Here is a 12329-nt window from a genome sequence, read left to right as displayed (position 1 = left end):
GAGCCCAGGAGTTTGAGACCAGCCTGGGCAACATGGCAAAACCCCACCTCTACTAAAAATACAAAAATTAGCCAGTCTCATACACAGCCTCAAAATTAATTAATTAATTAAAAAATAAAAAATTTTAAAAAGAGACACTTTAAATGGTTTAAAACATCCCCACTCAAGATTTTGTTGTTGTTGTTTGCTTTTTGTAGTTTTGCTGTGCCTTCCCCATGATAAAAAGTGCTCTTAAAACTTGGCAGCTGTCTGGGTGCAGTGGCTCATGCCTGTAATCCCAGCATTTTGGTAAGCTGGGGTGGGCAGATCACCTGAGGTCAGGACTTTGAGACCAGCCTGGCCAACATGGTGAAACTCTGTCTCTACTAAAAATACAAAAATTAGCCGGGCGTGGTGGTGAGTGCCTGTAATCCCAGCTACTCGGGAGGCTGAGGCAGAAGAGTCACTTGAACCTCGGAGGTGGAGATTGCAGTGAGCCGAGATCGCACCACTGCACTCCAGCCTAGGCAACAGAGCGAGACTCTGTCTCAAAGAAAAGAAAAGAAAAGAAAAAAAAACTTGGCAGCTAAATTGGTTGTGTGTGTGTGTGTGTTTAAACATATCACAGACATTTGCTAAGCACATTTCCTTCAAGAAGAGAAGAAACAAGTTTTTGTCAATAAGAAACTGTGGATATGACGCCTCCCTGAGTTAATTAAATCAACCCAGACTATTTTTCATTGCCATGAGGGAGAGAGAGTACACCCCTGTCCCTTTATGGTATTAGAGATTGTCTAGTCCAGCGTGCTCTATGGAACCCTGCAGGAGTCACAGCAGGGCACTACTGAGAAAGTGCCAAGAGGACAGGACTCTCTTTAACCAGAGCAGCACTGCGTCGACCAGTTTTATGATTTATCTGCTCCTATAAGGAAAATTTGTTTGCATGAAATTTCCTGTGGCTGAAACATATTTGCAGAACACAGATCTAGGCTCATTCCCTAATTTTACATATGAGGAAGCTGAGGCTTGGGGAAGTGAAATGACATCACTAAGTTAAAGCAGAGCTGGAGACAGTACTCAACGGTCTGTATCAGTCGGGGGACTTGGTTGCTGGTTAGATGCCAATTCTGGATAATCAAAGCAAAGACTCACAGGGGCTTGCAAAATTGACAGGAGCCTGATAGGCTTGGAAATGGCCAGAACCACGAGCACACTGGAAGGCCAAGAAGCTGGACAGAGTTCACAGAAAGTCCATAAATAGTCTCATAACCAGAGGAGCCTGTAGAAATGTTGATGCCTCTCCTGCCTCTTCTGCAATGCATGGCACCAACCTTCTCCTCTGATATGGTTCGACTGTGTCCCCACCCAAATTTCATCTAGAATCTCCACAGGGACCCCGTGGGAGGTACTTGAATCATGGGGGTGGTTACCTCCATGTTGTTCTTGTGATAGTGAGTGAGTTCTCACGGGATTTGATGGTTTTATAAGGGGCTTCCCCCGTCTTTGCTCTGAGCTTCTTGCTGCCGCCATGTGAAGAACGACATGTTTGCTTCCCCTTCTGCCATGATTGTAAATTTCCTGAGGCCCCCCAGCCCTGCAGAACTGAGTCAATTAAACCTGTTTCCCTTACAAATTGCTCAGTCTCAGGTATTTCCTCATAGCAGCATGAGAACGGAGTAATACACCCTCTTATTCTCATGTCACTTGATTTAAAGTCCCAGGAGAGAGTCCATGATTGGCTGGGTTGAAGTCACATGCTCACACTCGGGCTGGATGGGAGCCAGGAGAAACAGGTCTGGCCCCTTGAGCATCCCTAGTGGGAGCACTGCCCACAATTAGCCATCCACATTGGGGAAGGGTAATGCCCCAAAGGGAATTTTGGCTATTGAGAAGGGGAAATGGATGTGGGCAGCCCAAAGGGCAACTAAAGGGAGCCTGATGGCGCATAGCAGATCCCGATAACATGGACACTTTGTCTCAAGCAGAAAGAGCTACAGCAGGGAGAAAAGGATCTTTGCTGATGTTGAACATCAACAGGGTAAGCCTCTTTTCTTCAGTTACATTATTGCTACAGTTGTGAGAACCCTGGCATTAGTCTCTATACACTCCACCAGCTCATCACTAACTGAAAACTAGTTATTCAATAATCCTATACCCATTGCTGAGCAGCCACTCTTTTAGAATATTACTTTTTTAAACATAGGTGTAGGCCCAAAGTCAGGATAAATAATAGGTTGAGCCTTTAGGGATGTCAGAGTTCTCTGGAGAAACAGAACCAATGGGATGTATATGCACAGGGAGAGGGATTTACTTTTTAAAATTGGCTCATGCCATTGTGAAGGCTGGCAAAGTCCAAAATCTGCAGGGTCAGCAGGCAGGCTGGAGACCCACGGAAGAGGTGCAGCTGAGCCCAAAGGCAGTCCACTCACAGGATTCCCTCTTCTTCTGGGCAGGTAATCATTTTCCTATTAAGGCCTTCAACTGGTTGGTTGAGGCCCACCTACGTTGTGGAAGGTCATCTGCTTTACTCAAAGTCTATTGATTTAAATGCTAATCTCATCGAAAAAATACCTTCACAGAAACATCTAAAATAATGTTTGATCAAATATCTGGGTATCGTGGCCTAGCCAAATTAACACATAAAATTACCCATCACAGACGGGTCTCAGAAAAGGAACTGGGAAGGTTTGAATGACTTTACAGCCAACTGTAGCCACAGCGTGACCTTGGGCAGTCATTTTCCTCTCTGAGCCTCATTATCTGTAAGATGAGGGGCCTGAATTGGGTGATCTGTAAGGGTTTGGGCATAAAATGGCAAGGTGAGCGTGAACATCTAGTTTATCTCCCCTCCCGGATTCTCATGGGGGAATTTCCAACGGAGTTTGGGATGGCAGGGACTTGGATCAGACACGGAAAGGAGGCAGAGGATGCTCGTTAAGGTGTTTCCTACCCAGCACCCATTTCCTTCTGCCCTACAGTATCCCAGCTTTCATTCAGATTCCTGCCTTCCCTCACGTAACCCATGTGCTTCAAGACTGACCTCATTGCCAGCACCAGGGATTGGTCCAATTGGCCTAAGCGGATTTCTATCCCTAACCATTGATTGTTTCAGGAATCCAGGCCTGAGCGGATTCACGCATGACGTCTCCCTGGACACAGGGATGGGTTCACAAAGGGGTTGGAGTCACTGAGATGTGAGGAGAAGTCTGCTGGCAGCTTCTGGGACATTACACCCTGGTGCTGAAGAGATCGCTGCCGGAAGAGGCTGTCTTCCTGGGCATGTTGTCAGGTGAGGCCTAGAATTGTGGCAGCCACCTTGCTGCCAGCACAGGGGAAAGATGAGCCTGGGGAGTCCCAAGAACCAGAGCGGGAGCCCTGATTGCCCCACATCCCATCCCCCACCCCCACCAGCGACCCACATTTTAAGCAATGGGAGCCAATAAATCCTCTATATTTCTGTTACCGTAGCAAACGGAAACCTAACAGAGACACTGTAAAGGCTACTATTCCAATTTTTCTGGAATTAGTGCTGGGAGAACCCTGACAGAGCCCTTCTCCTCTTCTGTCTTCGATAGCCGGGGGCGGGCCGACCCAGCACGCAGGAGGCTTGCACCGCAAAGCCTTCTCGCTGAACCAGGCAGCAGATCCATCCCACGGGGCTTCCTCCCACGTGAGAAACGTAGGAAAAGACGCTGCAAATCAAAGACGACCACCCTGGAGAAGCAGGAGAAACTCCCCAACTTGAGTGAATGTATCAACATTTCAGAAAATGTAGGAGGTGGATGTTACTGTTTAATCTGCTCAGCATCCTTCCCCCACCCCTTTTGATAACTGGCCTCATCCACTGGACACACTTCTTGGAATGAGACCCGGGCTAGGCCAATCAGCCTCTCCCTGAAGTGTTTCCCTGAAGCTGGAAGAGAGGAACTCTGTTCCCTCTTGGATTACAGAGCTGAAAGGAGATGAATTTGATGCTACTAGTGTTCATGTTTCTAACCAAGGGAGATGGGGCCTAGCAAGCCTTAATGGTCTTCATATATTTTCCATCAGACCTTTTAAGCTTCCCCCATGGTGACCAGCCCCAGAGTAATGCACATTTAATTCAACTTTCAATGCAGGAAAATCAATTGCATTGCACCACAGACTGTTTATTACACGTAATCTGAAGTTCAACACATAAAGAAATAAGCAATATACACAAACCATGGCACTTAAGAGTTCAATTTGGGGACCTATTTCCCCCCAGAAATCAAAATACTTATATTGTCCTAAAATATTTCACATTATAAAATAAAGTTTTTCTGTTTTTTTTTGTTTTTTAATCCAGGCTGGAATTGCTTGAAACTTTTTTTTTCCTTTGACTTTTATTTTAAGTTCAGGGGTACATGTGCAGGATGTGCAAGTTTGTTACATAGGTAAATGTGTGCCATGGGAAACTTTTAAAATAATAATTATGATGGCTTTTATTTTAACAATGCTTTATAGTTCACAAATTGTTTTCAGATATCTTACCCTATTTTGATCTTCCTCCTCAAATGCTTGTGAATTAGATAGGACAAGTAAACCCATTTAGCAGATGAAGAAACTGAGCGATGAGAAGAGCCCAACTACAAGAATGAGGAGCGCCTAACACCCACCCAGTCTAGGATGTTATTAATCCCAAAAGAACTTCATTCTATTTGGAGCTCGTGGGGGTGGAGAGATGGAAGCAGGAAGAACCTAAATTGTGTCTACCACTGGAATTCAGATTTGTCTTGACTTGATAAGGTAGGCTCACCAGAAGGCTTTATGTTTTCTGCTAGTTTGTTTTGTAGGTTTTTAGAGATCTCTCAGGTGGAGAGGGTTGAATTCATCATACCCCTCAATTCATGGTACGTTATCATCACCAAGGAACTGCTCTTGTTTTATTCAATTACGTACTTTCCTTTTATACACCATCCATATTCCTTTTTTTTTTTTTTTTTTGACAAGGTTTCACTCTGTTGCCCAGACTGGAGTGCAGTGGCACAATCATAGCTCATTATAGCCTTGACTTCCTGGGCTCGATAGATCTGCCTGCCTCAGCCTCCTGAGTAGCTGGGACTACAGGTATGTGCCACCACACCCAGCTAATTTTTTTGTATTTTTTGTAGAGATGGGCTTTCACCATGTTGCCCAGGCTAGTCTTGAATTCCTGGGCTCAAACGATCTGCCCATCTAGGCTTCCTAAAGTGTTGGGATTACAGGTGTGAGCCACGGAACCCAGCCCATGCTCCGTTTATATAGAGTTCAAAATAGGCAAGGCTATTCTCTAGTTTCCAGGGTGGGGGTGCAGATAATACTTTAGTTTTTTTTTTTTAATCTGGATCATGTTTATATAGAGTTATTCATTTTGCAAAAATCTATTGTGCTGTGTACTTAATAATTGGTGTAGCTTTCTGTATGTATATACTTCATTAAAATTTTTACTTGAAAAAGTCCTGTTGGAATTTTGAATCATCTTGCATAAATTTATAGATGAATTTGGGAGCGAATTAATATCTTAGAATTGTTAAGGTCATCTTATCCATGAACATGTTGCTAACATTTTAAGAGAGATATTTGTCATGAGGGGTATTGGTCTGTAACTTTTTGGTTTGGGATTGTTTCTTTCTTTTCTTTTTCCTTGCAAAGTCTTTGTCTGAATTTAATAACAGTATAATGTTGGCCTCATAGAATGAGTTGGGGAGTGTTAACTCCTCTTCAATTTTCTGAAAGAGTTTGTGCAGAATTGGTATTAGTTATTCCTTAAATGTGATGGAATTCACCAGAGAAGCTACCTGGGCCTGAAGTTTTCTCTGTGGGAAGGATTTTGAACTTCAGATTCTATTTCTTTTTTCTTTTTTTTTTTTTTTGAGACGGAGTCTTGCTGTCGCCCAGGCTGGAGTGCAGTGGCACAATCTCGGCTCACTGCAGGCTCCGCCCCCCGGGGTTCACACCATTCTCCTGCCTCAGCCTCCTGAGTAGCTGGGACTACAGGCGCCCGCTACCTCGCCTGGCTAATTTTTTGTATTTTTAGTAGAGACGGGGTTTCACTGTGTTAGCCAGGATGGTCTCGATCTCCTGACCTCGTGATCCGCCCGCCTCGGCCTCCCAAAGTGCTGGGATTACAGGCGTGAGCCACCGCGCCTGGCCAATTGTCTATTTCTTTAATAGATACAAGACTACTCAGATTATCTATTTTTTTCTTTTCCTTTTTTTTTTTTTTTTTTTTTTTTTTTGAGACAGAGTTTTGCTCTGTCTCCTAGGCTGGACTGCAGTGGCACGATCTCTGCTCACCACAACCTCCACCTCCCAGGTTCAAGCAATTCTCCTGCCTCAGCCGTTCAAGTATCTGGGATTACGGGCACCCGCCACCATGCCCAACTAATTTTTTTTTTTATTTTTAGTAGAGACAGGGTTTCACCATGTTGGTCAGGCTGGTCTCGAATTCCTGACCTCAGGTGATCCACTTGCCTTGGCCTCCCAGAGTACTGGGATTACTTCCAGTCCTGCAAGCTCCATTAAGGGTAAATGCCGTATACAGGTGTACCATTTTACAGGCATAAGCCACCATGCCTGGCCATCTATTTCTTGTTGAATGAGTTTTGGTAGTTTGTCTTTCAAAAAATTTGTCCTTTTCATCTAAGTTGTCATATAAGTTTCCCTAAGGCCAGGGGTGGTGGCTCACATCTGTAATCCCAGCCCACTGAGGGGCTGATGGGAGATTGCCTGAGGTTTGGAGTTTGAGACCAGCCTGAGCAACATTGCAAGACCCTGTCTCTACAAAAACAATTTTTTAAATTAGCTGGTTGTTGTCGTACATGCCTGTAGTCCCAGCTACTCAGGGGTCTGGGGTAGGAGGATCGCTTGAGTCTAGGAGTTTGAGGCTGCAGTGAGCTCTGATCATGCCACTGCATTATATGCTTGGGTGACAGAGTGAGATCCTATCTCAAAAAAAATTGTCATAAAATTGTTCATAAAATTCCCTTATCATCCTCTAATATCTGAGAGCCCGTGGGGATGTTGGCTGTCTCATTCCTGATATTGCTAATTTTTATCCTCCCTTTCTTTCCTGATTAGTGTGGCTAGAAGTTTTCAATCTTATTGATCTTCTCAAAGAAAGAGCTTTTTGTTCCACTGAATTTTTTTCTATTATTTTTCTGTTTTCTAGTGTGTTGATTTCCACTCTAATCTTTGCTATTTCCTTTCTTCTGATTACTTTAGATTTAATTTACTCTTCTTTTTTGTTTAAGAATCTTAAGGTGGAAGCTGAGAACATTGACATGAAAAAAATAGATCAATGGACTCAAACAGAGTCCAGAAATAGACCTGCACTTACATGGACAACTGGTTTTTATTAAAAGTGCAAAGACAACTCAGTGGAGAAAGGACAGTCTTTTAAATAAACGGTACTAGAATAACTGGATATCCATAGGCAAAACAATAGATTTTGATTCTTATCTCATAAAATATTCAAAAATTAATTCAGATGTATCACAGACCTAAAGGTAAAACCTAAAACATGAACATTTCTAGAAGAAAATCTTTGTGACCTTGTATTAGGCAATGATTTCTTAGCTACACCAAAAGCATAATCCATAAAAGGAGAAATTGATAAACTGGACTTTAGCAAAATTAAGAATCTCTGCTCTTTGAAACATCTTGGTAAGACAATAAAAAGACAGCCCAGAGACTGAAGTAAATATTTGCAAATCATATACTTAATAAAGGACTTGTATCCAGAATATACTCAGCACTCTCAAAACTCAATAATAAGAAGCAACTCAACTTTTTTAGATGGGCAAAATATTTGAATAGATATTTCACCAAAGAAGGCATGTAGATGGCAAATAAGTGCAGTCATGTGCCACTTAGCAACAGAGATATGTTCTGAGAAATGTATTGTCAGATGATTCTATCATTGTGCAGACATCGTAGAGTGTACTATACAAATCTAGACGGTATAACCTACTATACACCTAGGATATGTGGGATAGCCTATTGGATAGGCTACAAACTTGTACAGCATGTTACTGTCCTGAATATTTTAGGCAATTGTAACACAACGGGAAGTATTTGTGCATCTAAACATAGAGGTGGCATAGTAAAAATATGTATAAAACAGAAAATGGTACACCTGGATAGGGCATTTACCGTTAATGGAGCTTGCAGGACTGGAAGTTGCTCTGAGTGAGTCAGTGAGTGAGGGTGAGTCACTGTGAAGGCCTAGGACATTACTGTAACTACTGTTTACTTTGTAAACACTGTACACTTAGGCTACACTAAATTTATTTTTAAAATATTTTTCTTTCTTCAATAATAAATTAACCTTAGCTTATTGTAACTTTTTAATTTCATAAACTTTTTGATATTTTAAAACTTCTGACTCTTTAATAACACTTAATGTATAACACACATTGTATAGCTGCACAGAACAATTTTTTCTTCATATCCTTATTCTATAAGCATTTTTCTATTAAAAAGTTTTTGTTTTTTTTTTACTTTTTAAACTTTTTTGTCCCAAACTAAGACACAAACACACACATTAGCCTGGGCCTACAAATCATCAGGATCATCAATATCACTAATATCACTGTCTTCCACCTCCACGTCTTGTCCCACTGGGAGATCTTCGGGGGAAATAACATGCATGGAGCTGTCTTCTCCTGTGTTAACAATCCCTTCTTCTGGAATACCTCCTGAAAGACCCAGCCATTCCACTCCTGAGTATTTATCCAAGAGATATGAAAGTATAAGTCAATATAAAGACTTGGATATGAATATTCATGTCAGCTTTATTTGTATTAGTTCAAAACTGGAGACAACCTAAATGTGCATCAATGGGTGAATGAGTAAACAAATTATGGTACATACAAACCATGGAATAACACTACTTGGCAATAAAGAGGAATACATTACTGATACACACAACCCCAGGGATGAACCTCAAAATAATTATGCTGAGTTAAAGAAGCCAGACAATAAAATTGCTGGATAATTCTATTTATATAAAATTCTAGTAATGAAAATTAATCTATAGTGACAAAAAATGGTTAATGGCTGCTTGGGAATGGGAAAGGGTTCAGGGAGAGGTGAGAGGAAAGGGTTGCAAAAAGACATGAGAAAAGTTTTGGGAATGATGGATATATGTTCACCATGGATATATGTTCACCATTTTTAGGGGTGGTGATTGCACAGGTGTATACATATGTCAAAACCTAAATTGTTCACTTTAAAATGTACTATCAATTGTAGGTCAGGTACACTTCAATAAAGCCAGGCACAGTGGCTCATGCCTGTAAGCCCGGCACTTTGGGAGGCTGAGGTGGGCAGATTGCTGGAGCTCAGAAGCTCAAGGCAGCCTGGGCCACATGGTAAAACCCCATCTCTACCAAAAATACAAAAATTAGCCAAGTGTGGTGGTGTGAACCTGTAGTCCTGGCTACTTGGAAGGCTGAGGTGGGAGGATTGCTTGACCCTGAGAGGCGGAGGTTGCAGTAAGCTAAGATTACGCCACTGCACCCCAGCTTGGGTGACAGAGTGAGACCCTGTCACAGAAAAAAAAGAAAAAGAAAAAGAAAAAAGGCATGTCTTTCATTATCTGAGTCTTTTAAAACATCCTTTAAAGGAGTTTTATATTTTTCCTCATAAAGATTTTGTGCAGTTGTGTTAGGTTAATTCCAGGATACACAATAATTTCTGGTGCTACTGTGATGTATCTTAATTCATATTTTCTCACTACTTATTGTATTAGTAGTATCAGTTATGTCACTTATGTATGGCTGCATAATAAACCACTCCCTAAACTCAGCGAATAAATACAACCATGTTGTTACTTACGAACCCAGGGGTCAGAGTTTCAGGCAGCGCTCCACAGGAAGTGCTCCACATGACATCAGTGGGGTGACTGGACTGTCTTAGAGGCTTCCAGATGGCTTCATTCACATGTCTGAGGGCCTGATGGTGGGCAGGAGAGCAAAGGCACATTGCAAAGGGATGGATCCAGAGAGGCATGATTCACTGGAGACAGTTTTTAATATTTTACCTTAATGAGGAGGAACACTGTATTGGTTAGATTTATGTGTCAGCTTGACTGGGCCATGGGGTGCCTAGGTATTTGGTCACACATTATTCTAGGTGTTTCTGTGAGGCTGTTTTTTGGATGAGCTTAACATTTAAATTGTAGACTGATGCAAGCAGATTGCCCTCTATAATGTGGATGGGCCTCATCCAATCAGTTGAAGGCCTGACCAGAAGAAAAGGCTGACCATCCGCCGAGTAGAATTCTCCTGCCTGATGGCTTTTGAAATGAGTCATTGGCTCTTCCTGGTTCTACAGGAGCTTTCTGACTTCACACTTAAACTGGGATATTGACTCAGACTTGGACAGATTTGGATTTGCCAGCCTCCATAATCACATAAGACAATTCCTTCTAATAAATCCTTTATTATTTCTTATAATAAATGAATGAATGAATGTATCCTACTAATTCTGTTTCTTGAGAGACCCCTGACTAATACAGCATTATTAATTTTGTAAGTGATTATTTGCATGACAACCTTGGGGAACTTTCTTATTCGTACATTTTTGCTTCTCTATATAATCCTTCCACCTCTAATTTATTTTTCTTGCCTTATAATGATGGCAAATACCTCCAATACTACAATTAAAAGTAACTTTGACAATGGGTATCCTTATCTTTTCTCCCCATTTTAAAGCAAAATGAATCTGAAATTTTTCAGCTAACCATAATGTCTTTCTGCAGTTTTTTTTTTTTTTTTAAAGTGCATTTTATGGAGGTAGAGAGTAGAATGGTGGTTACCAGAGTCTGGAAGGGGAATGAGGGTGAAAGAACTAACTTGGTGAAGCGGTACAAAAACGCCGTTCTGTAGAGGAACTAAGTTCTAGTATTCAATAGTAAAGTATATTTATAATATAAATATTACAGTTACAAATAATTTATTTTATTCTTCACAATAGCTGGAAGAGAAGATGTGTAATATTCCCAGCACAAAGAAAAGACAAATGTTTGAAGAGATGGATATCCCAATTACTCTAATTCTGATTATTATTATTATTTTATTATTATTATTATACTTTAAGTTTTAGGGTACATGTGCACAATGTGCAGGTTAGTTACATATGTATACATGTGCCATGCTGGTGTGCTGCACCCATTAACTCGTCATTTAGCATTAGGTATATCTCCTAATGCTATCCCTCCCCCCTCCCCCCACCCCACAACAGTTCCCAGAGTGTGATGTTCCCCTTCCTGCGTCCATGTGTTCTCATTGTTCAATTCCCATCTATGAGTGAGAACATGCGGTGTTTGGTTTTTTGTCCTTGAGATAGTTTACTGAGAATGATAATTTCCAATTTCATCCATGTCCCTACAGAGGACATGAACTCATCATTTTTTATGGCTCTGCAGGTTTTTAGTAGATGTCAAGTTAAGGAGGATATTCTATTCCTAACTTTTCTTTTTTTTTTTGAGGTGGAGTCTCACTCTATCACCCAGGCTGGAGTGCAGTGGCACAATCTCAGCTAACTGCAGCCTCCTCCACCTCTGGGTTCAAGTGATCCTCCCACCTCAGCCTCCAAGTAGCTGGGATTACCTGTGCCCACCAGCATACCCAGCTAATTTTTGTATTTTTGGTAGAGATGGGGTTTCACTATGTTGGCCAGGCTGGTCTTGAACTCCTGGCCTCAAGTGATCCACCCACCTCGGCCTCCCAGAGTGCTGGAATTACAGGCGTGAGCCACCACACATGGACCTATTCCTAACTTCCTGATAGTTTTTTAAAAAAACCATAAAGAGCTGTTTACCTTTGCCAAATGCTTTTTTTGCATTTACTGAGATAACTATGTTTTTCTTTTATATTGATTAATATTCTAATGTCAAATTACTTTGATAAGCCCTACTTTTTGTCCTCTTTTGTATTTGCTTTACTAATATTTTATTTTGAATTTTCCTATCTTTGCTGATAAGTAAAATGAGCCTATAATTTTATTTTCTTTTGCTGTTTTATATGACTTTGGAATCAAGTTTATACCAGTTCCACAGAATGATTTGGGTAACTTTCTATTTTTATTTTCTGGAAAAACATGCACAAGATATGGGGTTTTATTCCTCACAAGTGTGGTGAAACTTACCTATGGAATTATCAAGTCCAGAGAATTTGAGGGATGGTGGAGGATATCTTGACTGCCAATTTCCCTTTCCTTCCTTCCTTCCTTCTCTTTCTTTTTCTTTCTCTTTCTTTCTTCCCTCTCTTTCTTTTCTTTTCCTTCCTTTTTTCTTTTTCTTTCTTTTCTTTCTTTCTCTCTCTCTCCCTCCCTCCTTTCCTTTT

General features: G+C 41.2%; 1 long non-coding RNA gene across 2 annotated transcripts; it reads left to right on the top strand.

The window, feature by feature from the left end:
• Window positions 1-3091: 3091 nt before the first annotated feature.
• Window positions 3092-4802, top strand: LOC105371704 (uncharacterized). Of its 2 annotated transcripts, XR_934632.2 has the most exons (3): window positions 3188-3268; window positions 3555-3757; window positions 4530-4802. It is a non-coding gene; the product is annotated as an uncharacterized LOC105371704 (long non-coding RNA). The 2 variants fall into 2 exon arrangements; XR_007065675.1 differs by lacking the exon at window positions 4530-4802 and having other exon boundaries at window positions 3092-3268; window positions 3555-4116.
• The last annotated feature ends 7527 nt before the right edge of the window (window positions 4803-12329 follow it).

The sequence above is a fragment of the Homo sapiens genome, chromosome 17 (assembly GCF_000001405.40).
Source record: "Homo sapiens chromosome 17, GRCh38.p14 Primary Assembly".
In the NCBI taxonomy this organism is placed as follows: domain Eukaryota; kingdom Metazoa; phylum Chordata; class Mammalia; order Primates; family Hominidae; genus Homo; species Homo sapiens.
Note: the sequence above shows the minus strand (reverse complement) of the source record. Positions and strands in the feature narration are given on the sequence as shown.